The sequence below is a fragment of the Homo sapiens genome, chromosome 9 (genome assembly GCF_000001405.40).
Source record: "Homo sapiens chromosome 9, GRCh38.p14 Primary Assembly".
NCBI lineage: Eukaryota > Metazoa > Chordata > Mammalia > Primates > Hominidae > Homo > Homo sapiens.
In genome coordinates, this window is record NC_000009.12 from 110,517,967 (window position 1) to 110,540,332 (window position 22,366).

The window sequence follows — 22,366 nt, forward strand, 5'->3', positions numbered from 1 at the left end:
ATACATATTTAATATATGAGACTTGAAGAAAATTATCTTTATGGTTTTACAAGGTATGTATTCATGAGAGAATTATCAGGCTTTCAGGTTTGTTTATTTTTGCTGATCTACATTTTCTAGTTTTGTTACAATGAATAGGTATTATGTGGGCAAAACCAAAAGTAAATGAAGTTAGGCCCAGCACGGTGGCTCACATCTGTAATCCCAGCACTTTGGGAGGATAAGGCGGGCCGATCACCTGAGGTCAGAAGTTCGAGACTAGCCTGGCCAACATGGTGAAACCCCGTCTCTACTAAAAATACAAAAATTAGCCGGGTATGGTGGTGCACACCTGTAATCCAGCTATTTGGGAGGCAGAGACAGGAGAATCACTTGAACCTGGGAGACGGAGGTTGCAGTGAGCCATGATAGCGCCATTGCACTCCAGCCTGGGTGACAGAGGAAGACTCCATCTCAAAAAAAAAAAAAGTAAATGCAGTTATATATAAAAGAGAGTATTGTCTCAAATCATATATTTTGTTTGTTTGTTTGTAGACACCATCTTGCTCTTTAACCAGGCTGCGCTCAAACTCTCAAACCTCCCACCTCAGCCTCCCAAATAGCTAGGACAACAGGCACATACCACCATGCCCAGCTTCAAATCATAGATTTCATTTCATGGTTATCGGCTCTCTGACCTTGGAGACCACTATGATTTCTCATTCCTCCTCTATCTCCTTCAATATCTAAATAAAACTTATGTTCTTTGGTTCTTATTCCCTAAAAATCTTCTACGTTACTTTTATCTTAGATGCGACCTCATCATCTCTCTTCTGGTTTTTACAACATCCTCCTTACTAGTCCCTTGGCCTTACCTCTACCCTTCAATCCATTTGTGATGTTGCGACCTGAACAATTTTCAAAACTATAAATTCAGTCAAATCATTTTCCACCTAAAGCCTGTACCAACCAGATAAGCCCCTCTCTCTTTAGCCTGGAATATAAAGATATCTTTGATCTGTCTGTAACCTTCCCACCTCTGCAGCTGCAATGAACCAGCATATCATAAGCTGGTTAGAACCTGCTTCAAGATCAACTAGTGCCTAGTTTTGTACTGTCCCCTTCCCCTGACTCCCACCACATTTTTGGGGAGTTTGAGCAATTTACTTCATTTCTCTGTGACTTGGTTTCTTCGTGTGTAATAGTAGTAGTACTTTCCTTGTATATTTTTGTTGTTGTTGTTAGGATTAATTGAGGTCATGTGAGTAAAGCAACAATGCCTGGCATGTTGTTGGCATTTGGGAAATGTTAGAATAATGTCTCCAACCCTTCATTTTCTCAACCATAAAATAGATGATTATACTGCTTTTATAGATTTGTTGTGCCAGATAGATGCTCTGGCGCTTGGTAAATATTACCTTCCTTTCTTTCCCTTTCCTATCTTCCACTTCTGCATTTCTGCCTTCCTGCTTCTGAGTGAATCTCCAGCATCCTTCAAGACTCTAACTCATTCTTTAAAGGTTCTCTAACTTCTTCAGACAAATTTTGTTGCCTTCTCGCGGAACCCACAGAGTACACTACCCATTCCTCTGCACTGGCACACATCACACTCTTTGTAACACACAGGTTTCTCATTCCTTCAGTGGGAAGTGTGCTCCTGTATATTCAAAGAGTCTTCCAATTACCTGACCTGGCCATTGTCCAGCCAATTGCCTGAGCTGGCAGTCACTCAATCAAAGGAGGGCAAAAGAAAACAAGCCCTGATGGAGAGTGGAGGGTGGGTTTGGTGTGCAAGGAGAGTAGTAAAGTCAGGAAGACTAACAACAGAATGAAGTGAAGGGACAGTAGACTTGGAGTCAAGACAACTGAGTTGCAATCTTGGCTCTTCCACTAACAAGCTATGGGGTCACTGGCAAGTGACTTTTTTTTTCTTTCACTATAATATACAGAAGTTACAAGTAAGGATGTCTATGATCTTTCCAAGGCTAACATAAGATGATTCCATAAATAGAATAATACTAAAAAGCAACTTAAAGAAATCCTCCATATGAATGGTCAGATTCTGGCTACAGATTTTATAAATTATTTTTTAAAATAATGCTGCATGAAAAGGACCTAATCTTATAGTATTACTCTCCAAAATCTTTTAAATAATCAAGAGTTTAAAACACTGGCGAACAGAGTTTTGAATAAAAATACCCAAAAGTACATTTGGAAATGTATTGTGAAATTCATAATGATAATGAAAAACAGACTTTAGGAGAACTATTTAAAGGCATTGCACAATTCTAGTGGGAGAGGTGTAATCAACTTCCTTGATTCCCAAGGGGGAAAATTCCTCATCCCAAACCAAGCAAAAGTTGAAAAAAATGAAATAAATCTTTGGTTTGAACAAGTTTCACAAGTCTCCGTAAAGGGCTATGAATTGTTTTCCCTTTTTAATATGCGATGTTTCCTTCCTGGAAATGTACCAAATATTATTTCTTAATTGTTCTTTTGTTGTTGTTAAAATAAGCACTTTCTCTTTTCAGAAACATCTTGGCGGTTATCAGCTACTATTACTGGAAGTGTGAATTCTTGAGGTTATCACGTTGTACTAACATTAGATTTTTCTTCAGCTGACCATGCAATTCTTTGACTGAAGTAAATAAAAACACCAACCAGTTTGGAATTTGTAAAACACAAAGAAATCTCTACTCTTTCTAATATATCTTACCCGTTAAATATCAATTCCTTAGATGACTATTTTACTATTAATAACATATATTAGACAGTGACTTACATTTTACAAAATTTCTCCTCATACATGTCTTAGATTAACTTCTAAAAATCCTGATAAATATTAGGAGCCTTTATTTCCTTGCACAATTCATCTTTAAAAGTTAACAAATCACTTTAAAGAGTTTTAGGGCAGTTGCATGAGCTGCATTTAGGCTGTGCACTCCACAACTTCAAGGGTGCCTGTTTATGTGAATAATAATGGCATCCCCTGGAGTTGTACAACACCAAGCCTCTACTTTCTGCTATAAATAGGTAAGAAACCAAGCAAAATCTGGGCCCGCATTCTCTTTTCGACTTTATGGATTTGATCTGAATGAGGAATCTGTTCCTACAAAGAGTTGTGCTAAGATTTTGAACATAGGAATACACTGCTCTAGAACAGAACGTGTTTTCTCCATGTTGAACCAATGTTTTCAAAAATAAGACAAGGACCCAGGTGTGCATATAGGGACTTTCTTTTTATGAGGCAGCCAAGATCCTTTCTATTTTCCTCAATGAATTAGACAAGGAGACTTTCAATTGCCCTGAATTCTATACATCTGTACCTCTGTAGAATGCATTAGCAGCCTGTCGTTCTCCCTGTGACTGGTGGTAGCTCATTTGGCCAGAGTACAGACTATTTGGACAAAGTTGTGAATCTGAACCCTGATGTGGTGCCATGGCAGGAAATGGCACCCTAACTACAGGATGCCATATTGCAAATGTAAGCACACGCTCAGACTTGCCAGGAGATTAGTGATGGATCAGGACAAGTCTATCAAAAAACAAAAACCTCAAAGGACTGTGTACAAAAGAGGTTGCATCAGCAAAGTAATTTTTATATGTTGGGGATCAATATATGTGTATGCACACATACACACTCAAAAATACACACATATATTCACACATCAATACAACCAGCTGTGTAGAGAACATTTAAATGAATCCTTTGTTGTTGAAAGCTCTGTATTCTTTATTGTCTTAAAGTGTTTACCATCTGGATGAGAAAGGTGACATCATCCTGATTTTTATAATTAAAATTTCATTGGCAAGTACTTTTAGGAGAGGCCCTCTGGAGATTTTTTAGAATTATCTTTAACGTTATTTTTCTTTTCTAAAATAGCTAATAACTCAGAATCATGTAAGAAAGAGAAAAAAATTGCTAAACAATTTTGGTTTAACTACTCTTTTAATGTTTGACACTTAGGTTGATTCTAATTTTTTACAAACTTGAACAGCTTTTCTCTAAACATTTTTTTCCCTTAAATATTTGATCCATTTTTTAAAAATTTTCTTAGGCAAAGGAATATTAAATTTTTAAACTCACGAGTCTCTTGTTAAACTACTTTATATTCCCATTATCAAGACTGAAAGTACATGACTTATTGTACTCTTCATTTTCACTGGGTATTAGCAGTTTTAAAAATTACCAATGGATAATTATTTAAATATGAAGGTCTGTGAACTTCAGTTGCAACAGGGTTTCAACTTGAACCTAGATTAGATCCATCCCTGGGATTCAGACTTGTGTAGGCCCAACAGAAGTTGATTTGTGTGAAGAATTTGAGAGCCTTCTGGGAGAAAACTCCATCCATGGTGGGGATAACATTAAAAAAATTACAATTTAGAATGGCATGATTGTTGATCACTTAGATCAGACATCCACTGTAGCAGCAAAGCAAGGTTCTGCATACCAACTTATCTGCCAGATGTTAACCTTTATAGATGCTGGATTGTGGGATAGGCCAGTGGGCCAGCAAAGGGGGTCAGATCAGCAAAGAGGCACTCAAGGCACTTGAACAATAGCAATTTACCACCCAGCACATAAGTATTTCAGGATTTTAACAGCTTTTACAACTGTATTGTTGCATACTTGCTGAATGTCCGCCTGTCCTAAAGAAAGAGAGAATCGGCATATGTCAGCCCTAATGACCCTTGATTTTAGCAGCTAGGAAGGAGGAAAGATTCTGAGTGTAGTTTGGTGTTTATTGTCAAATGTGTTTCCCTTTGGGTCCTATAAAGAGTGGTAACTTATGAGTAACATTCAGGCTGTAGTTGGCTTTGATATTTTTCTTTCTTCACTCCTCTACCTCACATTCAATAAGAAATTAGTCTGTAGTCGTTTGGAAATACGGATTATATCAGTTGTTATCCATTTCCATTATTGGTACACTAATTTAAAAGCCTTTTTATTTTAGGCCTTGATTGTCTCTAACCTCCATACATAGGTTGCCTTTTCTACTTTGCTTCACACTCAGTGACTTTTAGCCACAGGTGCCAAATTAAATTCCTATTGTTATACTGCTTTTATCATGCCACTTTTCTGCCCCAAGATCTTCAATCGCTCACTATTGCCAGTTTACCAAAGGCCATGTCTTCAGCCTGAAATTCAAGTCCCAGTACAATTTAGAATATAGTCCTTACTCTTACTTGTCTTGCCTTGAATCCCACTATATCCATAGATTTTTCCTACCTTCCCACCCATGCAAGCTACCTCCAGTCCCCATCACAGGCTTATACTTTTCATTCTCTGCAAGTCGTCTTCATTTCTAACTGTCCAAATCCTATCATTCAAACCAAGTTGAAATCCTGTCACCCCCACAACTAATGGGAAACATTTTTGAATGCCAATAGCATTTTGTATATGTTTGATGTCATATTACTTTTATTTTCATTCAATCATAAAATTCTAAAAAACATTCAATTTACCCACAGGAAGACAGAAAAAAATAAACAGAGAAATAAAAATCAGAGAGAATAAACAGAAAACAAAAAATTAACTGGCAGACTTAAGCCCTACCATATCAATAATTACATCAAATATAAGTAGTCTAACTATACCAATTAAGTGATAGGGATTAAAAACATGATCCAGCTACAGGCTGTCTACAAGAAATCACTTAAACATAATATAGGCAAGTTCAAAGTAAAATTATAGAAAAAGATACATTGTGCAAACATTAATGAAAGGAAAGAAGGAATGTATGTTATATCAGATGAAGCAAGTTGAAGGGGAAATTTATAGTGCTAAATGCGTGCATTAGAAAAGAAGTCTCAAATCGATAATCTAAGTTCCCACCTGAAGAAGCTTGAAAAAGAAGAGCAAAATAAACCCAAATTAGAGGGAAGGAAATAGTAAATATAAGAGCAGAAATCAATAAAATTAAAAACAGAAAAAAAAGAAAATATAGAATAAAGATTTTGAAAAGATAATAAAATGATTTAGGAAGACTAATACAGAGAAAAAGAGAGAAGGCACAAATTACCAATATCAGGTAAGCAGACTCCATGGACATGGAAAAGATACTATATACTATGCACAGCTCTACTTACATATCTGACAACTCAAATGAAACAGACCAATTCATCAAAAATTATAAACTATGATAATTCATACAGTATTAAAAATAATTTGAATAGCCCTATGGTTAAGAAAATTGAATTCATAATTTTAAAATGTCCAAAAAATATCCAGGTCCAAATGATTTCAGTGGAGAATTCTGCCAAACATTTGCCAAATATCTACCAAAAAAAATAAGCACCACTTCTACATAATTTCTTCCAAAAAACAGAAGAGAAGGGAACATGCCCAAATTCATTTTATCAAGCTAGTGTTACCCTGATACCTAAGTGAGATGCAGAGTATAAATAAACAAAAAACTGCAGAACAACATCTTAGAAATATAGACACAAAAAAATCTTAACAAAATGTTAGCAAATGGAATTCAGCAATATGTAAAAAGAATTATACATCATGATTAAGTCAGGTTTATTGTAGGGAGGCAAGGCTGGTTCAATATTTGGAAATCAATCAATGTAATCATGTTAACAATATTAACAGGCTAAAGAAGAAAATGCACAAGGTCACGTCAATTGATGAAGAAAAATATCTGCAAACAAAATTGTCACCAATTTATGATGAAAACTCTCAGAAAAGTAGTAACAGAAGAGAATTTACTCAACTCAATGAAGAGAAACCTCAAAATCATACAAATGTTATTATTATTATTACTTTTTTTTTTTTTAAGCAGGGTCTCACTCTGTCACCCATGCTGGAGTGCAGTGGCACAATCACAGCTCACTGCAACCTTAACCTCTCAGGCTCAAGTGACCCTCTTACCTTCGCTGCCCATGTAGCTGGGACTACCTGTGTGCACCACCATGCTTGACTAATTTTTGTACTTTTTGTAGAGATGGGGTTTTACCATGTTGCTCAGCCTGGTCTCAAACTCCTGGACTCTGGCAATCTGCCTGCCTCAGCTTCCCGAAGTGCTGGGACTTCAGGTGTGAGCCACAAATAATATTATTCTTAATAATGAAAGTCCAAATGTTTTCCCCTTATGATTGGAAATAAAGCAATTCTTTTTTAAAACAGTAGTGGAACTTCTAACCAGAACAGTAAGGGAAGAAAATGAAATAAAACGTATTCGGATTAGAAAGGAAGAAATACAACTAAACCTATTTATAAGTGATGTGATTCTCCTTATAAGAAATTTCAAGTACTCTACCAAAAGCAAAAAACCAAAACACTCCTAGAACAGGTAAGTTAAGCAAAGTTGCAGGACACAATGGAAACAAACACAAATCAATTGTTTCTATGTACTAGCAGTGAACATGTGGACAATGAAATTAAAAATATGTTTACAATTATTTACTATTGCTCAAAAATAATAAAGCAAGCATGTACAAAACTTATATACTATACAATGCTGAAAAGGAAATCAAATATCTAAATTAATATATCATGTTTGTGGATTGGAAAGTTCAACATGGTAAAAATGTTAATTCTTCCATCATTAATATGCAGATATAATACAACTCCGAGGAAAATCCCAAGAAGATTTTTTTAAATGTAGACAATATTCTAAAATTTGTATGGGAAGGCAAAGAAATTAAAATTAGCTAAGACAATTATAAAGAAGAATACAGTAGAAGGAATTAGTCTACTTGCTTTCAAGACTTATTATACAGCTATAATAATCAAGACTATGCAGTATTGATAGATCAACAGAACAGAAGAGCAATCCAGAAACAGAGCTACACTAATGTGCCTGGCTGATTTTTTTTTTTTACTTTTTTAAAAAAATTATACTTTAAGTTCTGGGATACATGTGCAGAATGTGCAGGTTTGTTACATAGGTATACGTGTACCATGGTGGCTTGCTGCACCCATCAACCTGTCATCTACACCTGGCTGATTTTTAACCAAAGTGCAAAAACAATTTAACAGAGGAAAGATAGCCTTTTCAAGAAATGGTTTTGAAACAATCAGACATCCGTAAGTACAATAATTAACCTTGACCTAAATCTCAAACCTTATACAAAAATTAAGTAAAAATATCATGGATTTAAGTATAAAATATAAAACTATAACACTTTTCGAAACATAGGAGAAAATCTTCAGGAACCAGTATTAGCCAAAGAGTTCTTAGACTTGACACCAAAAGCAGAATTCATAGAAATAAAATTGATAACTGGACTTTGAACTTAAAAATTTTTGCACTGTAAAAGCCTCTCATAGAAGAACTAAAAAGTCAACCCACAGAATGGAAGAAAATATTTTCAACCTACATATCTGACATAGGACTAGTATGTAGACTATATAAAGAACTCTCATAACTTAAAAGTAGAAAAACAAAAACAACAATTAGACAATGAACAAAAGACATGAAGAGACAGTTCACTGAAGAAAAGATATAGATGGCAAATAAACATATGAAAAGATGTTTAACATCATTAGTCACTGGGGACATGCAAATTAAACCAAAATGTGTCATCACAACACACCTATCAGAATAGCTAAAATGAAAAATAGTGACGACACCAAGTGCTATCAAGGAGGCAGAGAAACTGGATCACTCATACATTTCTGATGGAAATGTAAAGTAGTTCAGCCACTCTGGAAAACATTTTGGCAAGTTCTTAAACAAAAATATGCAACTACTGTGCAATCCCACAATTACATTCCTGGGCATTTAGCCTAGTGAATTAAAAACTTATGTTCACATTAAAACCTATACACAAATGTGTATAGCAGCTTTATTCATAAAAGCCAAAACCTGGAAACAATCCAGATGTCCTTCAACAGGCAAACAGTTAAACTGTGGTACATTTATACTATGAAATACTACTCAGCAATAAAAAGAAATGAATTATTGGTACACACAACCATCTGGAAAAATCTCTAGAGAATTATGCCATGTGAAAAAAGCCAGGCTCAATATGTCACATTCTGCATGGCTCCATTTATATAACATTTGTGAAATGACAAAATTATAGAAATAGAGAATACATTAGTGGTTACAATAGGTTAAAGGTGGAGGCGGTGGCTATGGGTTGGTGGGAAGTGACTGTGGCTCTAAAAGAGCAACAAAAGGATTATTGTGGTGGTAGAAATGTTCTGTATTGAAACCATATCGATGTCAATATCCTGTTTGAGATACTGTACTATAATATCTCAAGATGTTACCATTGGGGAAAATGATATAGAGGATATCCTTTAAAGTGGGAAAGGATATAGAGGATCTCTGTATATTACTTCTTAAAATTGCATGTGACTCTATAATTATTTCAAAAGAAAAAATGTAATAAAAATTTTTTTTTAAAAGCAGAAAACAGGGAAGGAAAATTTCAAGTTATATCCAGAAATATTCAAAGCAGAGAAACTGCATTTTTTAAAGGATTTTTATTTTTTCTTTAATGATCGATTCCTAAAAATTAATGAGGTGAATAGTATGTTTAATATTTTGATAAAAATGTAAAAATTGTGCTCCATAAAGGATTCACTAACTTATACTTCCATCATCATTGTATGAAACTTCCTATTTACCTACATCCTTAATTAGAGGAAAGTATCAATTAATGTTTGCCAATACTATGGCTCAGAAATATTTTCATTTTAATTTGTATTTGTCCATTATTAGTGAGATTGTGCATATTTACTTATGTTTATTGCCTATTTGTAATTTTCTTAAGTGAATTTCATAAAATTTTTTTTCAATAGCTTTAGGGGTGCAAGTGGTTTATGTTCCATGGATGAATTGTATAGTGATAAAGTCTAGGGTTTTAATGTACGCATCACTCAAATGGTATATATCATACACAATTATAAAAAACTACTAGGTAGGTTTTTTTATCCCTCACTCCCCTCCCACTCTCCCCACTTCTGAGTCTCCAATGTCCATTATACCATACTGTATGCTTTGGCATACCCACAGCTTAGCTCCCGCTTATAAGTGAGAACATGCAGTATTTGGTTTTCCATTCCTGAGTTACTTCACTTAGGATAATGGTCTCCAGCTCCATCAAAGTTGCTGCAAAAGACATTATTTCATTCATTTTATGGCTGAATAGTATTCCATGGTGTATGTATATATATATATACACACACACATACACACATATACATATATACATACATACACACGTGTGTGTGTGTGTGTGTGTGTGTGTATATATATATATATATATATATATATATATGCCACATTTTCTTTAGCCACTCATCAATTGATGGGCACTTAGGTTGATTCTGTATCTTTGCAATTGTGAATTGTGCTATGATAAACACACATGTTTATCTTCTTTATGTAATGGCTTTTCCTTTGTGTAGATACCCAGTAGTGGGATTGCTGGAATGAATGGCAGATCCACTTTTAGCTTTTTGATAAATCTCCATACTGTTTTCCATAGAGGTTTTACTACTTTACATTTCCAATAGCAGTATATAAGTGTTCCTTTTCACCATATCCGTGCCAACATATTTTATGTTTTGACTTTTTAATCATGGCCATTCTGGCTGGAGTAAACTGGTGTCTCATTGTGGTTTTAATCTGTATTTCCTTGATAATTAGTGATTTTGAGCATTTTTCATATGTTTGTTGGCCATTTATATATCTTCCTTGAGAAATGTCTAAGTTGATTGTCTACTTTTTAATGAGATTATTTATTTGTTTGTTTTCCTTGCTGATTTGTTTGAGTTCCTTGTGCATTCTGGATATTAGTCCTTTGTCAGGTCCATAGTTTGCAAATATTTTCTCCCATTCTGTAGGTTGTTTACTGTTGATTATTATTATTATTATGGCTATGCAGAAGCTTTAAAAATCAATTTATTAAAATAAATATATTTTAAATTAAAATTTAAATTACATTTATTAATTTTAAAACTGAATTTTAATTTTTAATTTATTAATTTTCATTTTTGTTGCATTTGCTTTTGGAGTCTTAGTCACAAATTCTTTGCCTAGGTCAATGTCCAGGACAGTTTTTCCTAGGTTTAGTTGTAGAATTTTCAGGGTTTTAGATCTTAGATTTAAGTCTTTCATCCATTTTGAGTTAATTTTTTTATACGGTGAGAGACAGGTATCCAGTTTCATTCTTCTACATGTGGCTATCCAATTTTCCCAGCACCAGCTATTGAATAGGGTGTCCTTTCCCCAGTGTGTATATTTTTGTCTGCTTTGCTGAACATCAGTTGGTTGTATTTAGCTTTATTCCTGTGTTCTCTATTCTGTTACATTGGTCTATATGTCTACTTTTACATCAGTACCATGCTGTTTTGGTTACTATAGCTTTGTAGTATAATTTGAAGTTGAGTAATGTGATGCCTCTATATTTGTTCTTTTTGCTTTGGCTCTTTGGGATCTTATTTGGCTCCATATGAATTTTAAGATTCTTTTTTTGTTCTGTGAAAAATGACATTGTTATTTTGATAGGAATTGCATTGAATCTGTACATTACATTGAGCAATATGGTCATTTTCCTTATATTGATTCTTCCAATTAATAAGCATCGGATGTTCTTCCATTTGTTTGTGTCATCTATGGTTTCTTTTATCAGTGTTTTGTAGTTCTCCTTGTAGAGATGGTTCACCTCCTTGGTTACGTATATTCCTAGGAAGTTTGTTTTTTTTTTGTTACTATTGTAAAAGAGATTGAGTTATTTATTTGATTTTCAGCTTGATTGTTGGTGGTGGTGTATAGCAGTGCTATTGATTTGTGTATATTGATTTTTGTAATCTGAGACTTTACTAAATTCATTGATCAAATCTAGGATTCTTTTGGAGGAGTCTTTAGAGTCTTTTAGGTATAAAATCATATCGTCAGCAGAGTTAGTTTGACTTTCACTTTTTCAGTTTGGATGCTCTTTAGTTCTTCTTTCTGATGGTTCTGGCGAGGACTTCCAGTACTATGCTGAATAAAGTGTTGAAAGTGAGCATCTTTGTCCTGCTCCAGTTCTTAAGGGGAAGGTTTTAAACTTTTTCCCACTTAGTATGTTGGCTGTAGGTTTATCACATATGGCTTTTATATTTTGTGTTATGTTCCTTTTATGCCTTGTTTGCTGAGGGTTATTATTATAAAGAGATGCTGGATTTTTATCAAATGCTTTTTCTCCATCTATTGAGATGATCACGTGGTTTTTGTATTTAGTTTTGTGTATGTACTGAATCATATTTATTGAATTATGTATGTTGAACCATCCCTGCATCCCTGGGATGAAACCCAGTTGATTAAAGTGAATTGTCTTTTTGATGCGCAGTTGGATTTGATTTGCTGGTATTTTGGTAAAGATTTTTGCATCTATGTTCATCAGAGATATTGGTCTGTAAGAAACTACATTTTGGAAATTGGTATATCCTGGTCACTACAGAGACATGCTTGGTTGGACGTTAGGGACATGTCTTCATGACTACCCATTGCTTTACGGACACTTTGATACATGGAATAGAATATGATGAAAAGTATACATAAGTATTATAATAACTGGAAAGGGCAATTCCTCCTGCATAAATTCATAAATTGGTATTCTTATTCATACATCAGTTTTTTGTTTTTGTTTCTATTTTGTTTTGAGACAGGGTCTTGCTCTGTTGCTCAGGTTGGAGTGCAGTGATATGGTCTTGGCTGGCTACAACCTCCACCTCCTGGGTTCAAGTGATTCTCCTGCCTCAGCCACCCATTTAGCTGGGACCACAGATGCACACCACAGTGACCAGCTAATTTTTGTATTTTTTGTAGAGACGGGGTCTCACCATGTTGCCCAGGCTGGTCTCAAACTCCTAGGCTCAAGCAATTCTCACACCTCAGCCTCCCAAACAGCTGAGATTACAGGTGTGAGCCACCGTGCCCAGTCTTTATTCATATATCAGGATCAGTAAAATTGTACAGCTTTTTACAGCTTCTCATGATGGTCACACAATTTTCTTTCAAATTATTCTTAGAAAATGTATTTTTTTCTTGTTAGTATAAATGGAACTTTATCACATTTTAAAAAGTGTAATGTTTCTCCATAACAAATTTTATTGATTTTAAACTATCTTGCCACCTTGCACATCTATTCTATTAATATTAGCATTTTTCAGTTGATTCCTTTGGATTTTCCAAGTGAATGATAATATGGCATGCAAATAATAAAGCAACTTTGTTTTGAATATTAAATTGTAGAATAGAGTACCCTTGCTTTATTGACATTTATGATTTTGTCTTAAATATTTCATATATAGTGATTTGATTTTTTTATAACTTGTTCTATAGCTCATGATTTACTTTCATTTAACTGCTTCCATATTTTGACATTTGTAAACCTCAAGTTTTATTGGAAAATATTATGCCATTAGTATGGTTTGGCTGTGTTCCCACCCAAATCTCATCTTGAACTGTAGTTCCCATAGTCCCCACATGTCATGGGAAGGACCCAGAGGAAGGTAATTTAATCCTGGGGGCAGTTACCCTCATGCTGTTCTCGTGACAGTGAGTGAGTTCTCATGAGATCTGATGGTTTTATAAGAGGATTTCCCTGCATTTGCTCAGCACTTCTCCTTGCTGCCACTACATGAAGGATATGTTTACTTCCCCTTCTGCCATGATTGTAAGTTTCCTGAGGCCTCCCCAGCCCTGCAGAACTGTGAGTCAATTAAACCTCTTTCCATTGTAAATTACCCAGTCTCAGGTATATCATCATTAGAAGTGTGAGAACAGACTAATACAGCCACCTATGGTAGAAATAGTTTGATTAATGGATTTGTTAAATAGCTCGTTTAGTAAAAATCCACAGTACCCTGAATGCTATGTCTTGCACTGTTGCATGAATTAAAACACTACCCCAAACCATCAATATATGCAAATAGCTTTAGACACACACATGTGCACTACTGTGGTTTTAGGAATAAATTTGGAAACAATCTTAGTAACCACATAACATAAAAGAGATAAATGTGTGATTAGCCACTTCCTATTGTTGAACTCAGCCTTCCAGATGGCTTATTTTGATACTAAGCCAGTGCTTCCCAGGGTCAGTAGACTTGTTCACCTTCACTTCTCCAAAAAAGGAATGGAAAATTCCCAGGAAGTTGGGAACCAAGCAGAGTTCCCATATGCTGTGTTCTAGTATCTAAACATGCATCTCACTTTATTTATTTACTCCTTCATTCATTCACCAAAAATTTATTAATGCTTACTCCAAGTCCATATGTTTTTTAGGAGAGGCTATAAAAAAATAAAGGAGGCATAATCTTGCCCCAGAGGAATTCATAGAATATTAGAGAAAAGAAAACCTACCAAACATTATAATACCATATGGTAAGTGTGAACAGAGAGAAGATATTTATGACCCTCAAATTTCAGGTCTAGCTGTGTCAGAGCTATAAATCTAAGGGAGAAGGGATGAGAGGAAAGGTGTCATAGAAGTTAGTTTGCTGTAAATCGAGAAGGACTAGTAAGAAATGAACGGACACACAAGGCATGAGGGTATTCTAGGCAAAGGGAACAAAACTGCACAAGTGGATTCATGAAAAGGCTTGAAGTGACTGAGGAGTCACTAGCAGCTTGGGGTATCTGGAGCATAAGATGCTGCAATGATCATACCCAAGAGATCATTCAACCCTAGTAGAATCACAGAATTTGATATTTCTTCTAAAAGTTTTTAAAAAGAATTACAGTAGTGTTTTTTGAATCATTTTAATGCACTAATCCAATCTGTTAATATGGAACAGGGTTTCTTAACGTCAATATTATTGATGTTTGTAGCCTCTCAGGGGCTGTCTGGGGCACTGTGGGATGTCTAGCAGCATCCCTGACTGCTATCTGCTAGGTAATAGTAGCTCTTTCCAGCTATGACAACCAAAGTTTCCTCCAGAAACTTTGCCGAATGTCCCCTGGGGAGGGGGCAAAATTGCTTCCTGTAGAGCAACAATCCCCAACATTTTTGGTACCAGGGACTGGTTTCATGGAAGATAATTTTTCCACTGACTAGGGTACGGGATGGTTTCAGGATGAAACTGTTCCACTTCAGATCATTTGGCATTAGATTCTCATAAGCAGCATGCAAACTAGATGCCTCACATGTGCAGTTCACAATAGGGTTCACTCTCCTATGAGAATCTAATGCTGCCGCTGATCTGACAGGAGGCAGAGCTCAGGCGGTAAGGCTTGCTCACCTGCCGCTCACCTCCTGCTATGCAGCCCTGTTCCTAACAGGCCACAGATCAGTACCGGTCCATGGCCCAGAGGTTGGGAACTCCTGCTGTAGAGAACTACCACTGATGGAGCACAGTAATTTATGCCAATCAGCACTTACTACATGCCTGGCCCTTTAGCAAGCTTTTATTCACATCTTATTTAATGTTTCTCACGAGCCTACTATTATTAACCACATTTCATAGACTAGGAAACTCATGTCATAGAGATGAAAAACTGCCCAGAAAAACACAGTAGGTGACAGAATCAGGATTCATCCCACTAACTGGTATCAATAACTATACATGATATGAGCACACAGTTGCATAATGACTGAATCATTCACAAACCACATGTAAGGGAACTGAGCATCCTTGAATTTTACTATCCTCAAACCAATCTATTGTGGATACCCGGGGTTACTATCTCTGTGTGTCTGTGTGTGTGTGTGCACGCACACGTGTGTGTGTATTTTGGCATCCCCAGCACTTAGCACACTATAAGGCACACCATGTTTTCAACGAGTTTGGAATGATGGGCAATTTGAACAAGCATAGCCCGATTTCCTCTAGCTTGGGCTATCATTTTCAAATTGCTAACATTGGCCATCATCTAAACTTGGCTAATCATGTAACATTTAGTGAACAATAACCCCATGCAGGCCCTGTGGAACCAAACACTGGGAATACTAAGCTACAATTTAGAAGCAACTGTTTATTGAAAATATAACCTGGAAATAGCAGCAAAATATTTCTGGATCATTTCTTTGATGGATAATGACTGAGCAATGAGTGCTATGGATGAATTGCAAGTAACAGCATGAACTCTAGGGTCAGAGATCTGGGTCTGCAGGCTAAGTCCACCACTTTTTTAAACTTTTACTTTAGATTCAGGGGTACATGTGCAGGTTTGTTATATAGGTAAACTCACATCATGGGGGTTTATTATACAGGTTATTTCATCACCCAGGTACTGAGCCTAGTACCCAATAGTTATTTTTTCTGATCCTCTCATTCCCCATACCCTCCACCCTCAAGTAGGCCCCAGTTTCTATTGTTTCCTTCTTTGTCTTCATGACGTCTCATCATTTAGCTCCCACTTACAAGTAAGAACATGTGGTGTTTGGTTTTCTGTTCCTGTGTTAGTTTGCTCAGGATAATGGCTTCCAACTCCATCTATGTTCCTGCAAAGGACATGATCTCATTCCTTTTCATGGCTGCATAGTATTCCATGGTGTACATGCACCACATTTTCTTTATCCAATGTCATTGATGGGCATTTATGTTAACTCCACGTTGTTGTTATTATGAATAGCGCTGCAATAAACATTTGCATGCATGTGTCTTTATGGTAGACTGATTTATATTCCGTTGGGTATGTGCCCAGTAACAGGATTGCTGGGTCCAGTGGTAGTTCTATTTTTAGCTCTTTGAGGAATCATCACACTGCTTTCCACAATGGTTGAACTAATTTACATTTCCACCCACAGTGTGTAAGTGTTCCCTTTTCTCAGCAATCTCATCAGTATCTGTTGTTTTTGACATTTTAATAATATCTATTCTGACTAGTATGAGGTAGTATCTCACTGTGGTTTGATTTGCATTTCTCTAATGATCAGTGGTATTGAGCATTTTTTCATATGCTCATTGGGTGCGTGTATGCCTTTGAAAACGGTCTGTTCATGTCCTTTGCCCATGTTTTAATGGGGTTGCTTTTTTTCTTGTAAATTTGTTTAAGTTCCTTATAGGTGCTGGATATTAGGCCTTTGTCAGATGCAGCATTTGCAAATATTTTCTCTCATTCTGTAGGCTGTCTGTTTAGTCTGTTGATAGTTTCCTTTGCTGTGTAGAAGCTCTTAAGTTTTACTAGATTCCATTTGACAGTTTTTGCTTTTGTTGAAATTGCTTTTGGTGTCTTGTCATAAAACCTTTGCCCATTCCTATGTCCAGAATGGTATTGTCTAGGTTGTCTTCCAGGGTTTTTATAGTTTTGGGTTTTACATTTAAGTCTTTAATCCTTCTTGAGTTGATTTTTTATATGGTATAAGAAAGGGATTCTGTTTCAATCTTCTGCATATGGCTAGCCAGTTATCCCAGCACAATTTATTGAAAAAGGAGTCCTTTCCCCATATCTTGTTTTTGTCCATTTTGTCAAAGATCAGATGGTTGTAGGTGTGTGACCTTATTTCTGGGCTGTCTATTCTGTTCCATTGGTCTATGTGTCTGTTTTTGTACCAGTACCATGCTATTTTGGTTACTGTAGGCCCATAGTATAGTTTGAAGTTGAGTAACATGATGCGTCCACCTTTTTTCTTTTTTCTTAGGATTGTCTTGGCTATTCTGGGTCTTTTTTGGTTTGAACTTAAAATTGTATTTTCTAGTTCTGTCATGAATGTTATTGGTAGTTTGATAGGAATAGCATTGAATCTGTAAATTGCTTTGGGAGGTATGGCCATAGTAATACTGATTCTTCCTACCCATGAGCATGGAAGGTTTTCCCATTTGTTTGTGTCATCTCTGATTTCTTTGAGCAGTGTGTTGTCATTCTCATTGTAGAGATCTTTCACCTCCCTGGTTAGCTGTATTCCTAGGTATTTTATTCTTTTTGTGGCAATTGTGAATGAAATTACATTCCTGGTTTTTTTGTACATTGATTTTATATTCTGAAACTTTGCTGGAGTTGTTTATCAGCTGAATGAGTTTTTGGACAGCGACTATAGGGTTTTCTAGATATGGAATCATGTCTTCTGCAAATTGAGATAGTTTGACTTCCTCTCTTCCTATTTGAATGTCCTTTATTTCTTTCTGTTGCCTGAATGCCCTGGCCAGGACTTCCAATACTATGTTTAATAGGAGTGGTGAGAGAAAGCATCCTTGTCTTAAGCCAGTTTTCAAGTATTGTCCTCATTCAGTATGATGCTGGCTGTGGATCTGTCACAGATGGCTCTTATTAGTTTGAGGTATGCTTCTTCAATATCAAGTTTATTAAGAGTTTTTAACATAAAGGAATGTTGAATTTCATCAAAAGCCATTTCTGCATCTATTGAGATAATCATGTGGTTTTTGTCTTTAATTCTGCTTATGTGATGCGTCACATTTATTGATTTGCTTATGTTGAACCAACCTTGCATCCCAGGGATGAAGCCTACTTGGTCACAGTGAACTCTACCTCTTTATAGTTGAATGACATTAGAAAAACTACTTAAATTATTCAAAACTGTTTCCTCTTCTGCAAATGAGAAATGTATGTAAGGCAAAGACTTTGCAAGTGGCATGTGAATGTCACATGCATCATTTTAAAAGAACCAATTTCCAGAACCTCAACATACATATATAACTAAATTAGTATGCTGGAGAAAGTGTCTATGGCACCTTTTCACAATTGCATTTCATTTTTCAAAAGAAATGTGAACTTCTCACCCCTTCAAATTTTACTAGGGTACATTGCCCCGAGGTGAAAAATCTTTAGCATGATTCAAAATCTTGACATTTGGAAACCCTTCTTTAATCAAGAAATAATAAGCAGGGTCTTTAAGAAGCTTTTCTTTTTTTTATTATACTTTAAGTTCTAGGGTACATGTGCATAACGTGTAGGTTTGTTACATATGTATACATGTGCCATGTTGGTGTGCTGCACCCATTAACTCGTCATTTACATTAGGTATCCTCCTTAACTCATTTTATAAGAAGTTTTTCTTAACTACAGGCACTGTTTTACAGCATATCTCCAGAACTTATTCATCTTGCATAACTAAAACTAACAGATAGTCATTTAACAGTCCTAGTAAAGTCTTTTTGGAGGGCATCCCAGAAATTGAGAAAGTGAATGATTGCGATGATTGTGTAACAACTCCTTTTGTACGTCAAAATGTTTCAAATTCTTCAATTTCAATAAAGATGTAAAGGACCTAAGGGACTTGTAAGCTAATAACTCATTTACGATACTTTTTTGATGATAGATAACCGATGTTATTTTTGGCATGCAACTCAGGAGGAACTCCAAGAATTGAGTGACATCAATTTAACACAACTTATTCAAGTCCCATGTACATATTTATATGAAGAAGGTTTTCAGCACTAAAATCCATAAAAGTGAAAAAAGGAAATAAAATTGATGTTGTATGCTCTCTTAACCTAACAATGAATAATAAAAATCCATGGATACATGAACTAATTAACAATGCATCTTATTAAGAAGTGAATTTTCAATAGTATTTTTATGTGTGAGAAAGTATCAAAATGTATAACATGCATGACAAATTATATACAAACAGCAATTGTGATAATAACTCAGTCTAGTAGCACCTTTGGTCACAGAACATTTAAAAATTAATTTCAATTTTTATCCACAATTTTTGTAGTGGAGAAGTACAATTCTGTGATCAACAGAAGGCTTTGGAAAAAAATATGTTACATTAGAATAGAATTATGTAGTGGAAGTAGAATAGAAGAGGACTAAGAAAATAAGAAGCCAGCAAAATTTCTGTAATGAAAAGGGTGCTTGTTAACAAATGGATACTCAAAACATTTGCTATAATATTTAGATTTTAGTAGGTATATTTGAAACTGATACAATAATTTTATTTTAAAATGTCAATACAGTATTATGAATTACCATCTTTTAAAGTCCTGCCAAAAAAATTTAGATGGCCATTTAAAAATCAACGAGGGATTTGTAAATTTTCCATTTTTTTTTTTAGGGGTTACATGAGCAAGTGTTTGAAGATCATGATTCAGTTAGTAGATGTTAAATGTTTTCCCTTTGTTCACGTATCATTTTTATTGGAGAGAGTCTCTTATAATGGGGCTAGGGAAAGGAAGAAGAGAAAGATAAGATCTTATAACAATAAGCAGATATTGATCACAATCCTTATCTTGAGAATTCTTGGCAACTGTATATATTTTTTGAGTATTTCTAAGGAACACAACACACTGACTTTGGGGGTTTGTGATGCTTCACACCAATAGTCTAATTTTATGTGTGTTACAATCATGATAGACTGGAAAATGCACTATCAGGGCTGAATACCTACCTCATTCAATAGAAATGGAACAAACTAGCCTGATTTAGGCAACAGTTACAAATTCTCCAGCTTAAGTTGATGGAACCAGTGTCAACATGCTAGCGATATTCCTTCATAAAAAGCAAATGGGAATACATTGTATAAATTCCTTATACCTTACAAATCCATTATTACATACCACTGAGGATATTTTTGGGGAAAAGAAATCAGCCAAGCTCTGCTTACAGAACAAGATTTCCAAATGTTTTGGTTTTCATTCAAGAATTTCTAGAGCTCTTTGTCCTCTCTCTTTCCAAAGAAATGATATAATATTTAGACAGGAAAGTGTGTATGTGTGCAGGGTAGGAGTGGAGATTTGTGTGCATATATTTACACGTATAATAAGATACTCCCAAATAAATATTCCAGTGTTTCTATTTCGATAGTGTTTCCTCCTTTTATGAAAATAATATAGCTGGAGCTTTGGCTCAAGTTATCTGGCCTTCAGCCTTGGCCTCTATCCAGCTATAATGTTCAATCTGCTAATCATGCCTAACTCATTGAAATATAGTCAATCTCTGCAAAAGAGCACTGTCCTCAAGATGCCTGTTGTCTCTATACTTTGTGTCTCTCAAATCCCTCCGGGGAAATTCAGAACAGCTGCAACTGCTTGGATTTACGACCAGAGTTCACTGACTACTCTCAATGTGATTTGATGATCTATCCATCTTAAAATGACTAATCTAGGATTTGATTTGTTGTTGGCAAAGGTTAATCAAATGTAAATATTTTGGTTTTAAATAAATTAAAAGCATTTTAAGAATTTCTTACCTAGTACCTTTGTGCTAGGAATCCTGTGGTGCTCAAGGCAAACATGAAAATCTTGCAATTGCCTAAGATTTCAGCAATGAGTTCTGTTCCACTTAAAATTCTGGTATTAAAGTTTACTTCTTACTGACATCCTTTTTCTTGAGCACTTACTTACTATAGGCTCTGAAGACAAGCAGTGGGGATACCAAACGAATTAGAAAGTCACTGCCTGTTAGCAACACTTATGAAGGAGGAACAAAGACAATAGTTAGGTGTGATGGGAAAGGGAGCCAGAAAATGCATGAATAAAGATCCAAGGAATGAAATAGCATACGAGCTGCAGAAAACTAGAATTAGTTCGAGCTTTCAGCTCAAAGAATAAAGGAGAGGTCAAGTCATGCTAAGCCTTTATACCATGTGAAGGTGCCTGAACTTTATTGTATGAGTGGGTCATAATTCGAAAACATTAAACAGAGTACAGTATGACCAGATTTGAATTTTATATAACTCATTCTGTTCTTTTCCTTCTGAGTATTAGGTTGAACAATATGAAGATGCTACTTTGTAAGTTTAAAATGATCAAATATTGATAATAAATATTGATAATATTATAAGGGACAAACTAATACTTAACAGATTTTTAAAGTATATATATACACATATATGTATGTGTTACATATATATGTATAATATATGTACATTACATATATATATGTATATTTAAATAAGAAATGCTTCATGAATTTGCTAGTCACCCTTGCACAGAGGGGCCATGCTAATTTTCTCTGTAACACTCCGATTTTAGTATATATGCTGCCAAAGCAAGCACAAAAATTATATTCTTAATTGTGAGTCTGTTTGTTAAATTTCTATCCCATAGAATAATAAAAATTGAAATTAATTTTTAAATGTTCTGTGACCAAAGTGGCTAGACTATAGACTGTGCAGCCAGAAAACTCGAGCTCATATCCCAGCTCTATTAGCTGTGTGACCCTGGACAAATTGCTTAAGTTCTCAGACTTTTAGTTTCCTTATCTATAAAATGAGAAAATGCTCCAGAGAGTTATTGTAAAGATTACGAGTTAATATAAACAATGCTTAGAAAATGGTCTGGTACATAGTAAGCACTATTTAATATTAGCTACTATTGTTATTATTATCAGTTATTGCTCTCATCACCATCATCATTATCATTATCATCATCATCATTCTCACTATCCAAATGCCTAGGTGAAAGGTAAAGGATGAAGACAGTCATACTAGTAACAGAGGTGGAAATGTAAGTAACACCTTCTTTTCATTAGATCCACAGTTTTGCAATACTGTTCCCTTAGCTGAAATTTAATAACTAAACCCAGAATAA

General features: G+C 35.2%; 1 protein-coding gene and 1 non-coding gene across 2 annotated transcripts in view; both read right to left on the minus strand.

Annotated features, from left to right (window-relative positions):
- The window catches only part of SVEP1 (sushi, von Willebrand factor type A, EGF and pentraxin domain containing 1), a 214,494-nt gene that overhangs the window by 152,719 nt on the left and 39,409 nt on the right, over positions 1-22,366 (minus strand). The window lies entirely within an intron of this gene.
- LOC124902331 (U6 spliceosomal RNA) lies at positions 21,724-21,832 on the minus strand. Its single transcript, XR_007061908.1, has one exon. It is a non-coding gene; the product is annotated as a U6 spliceosomal RNA (small nuclear RNA).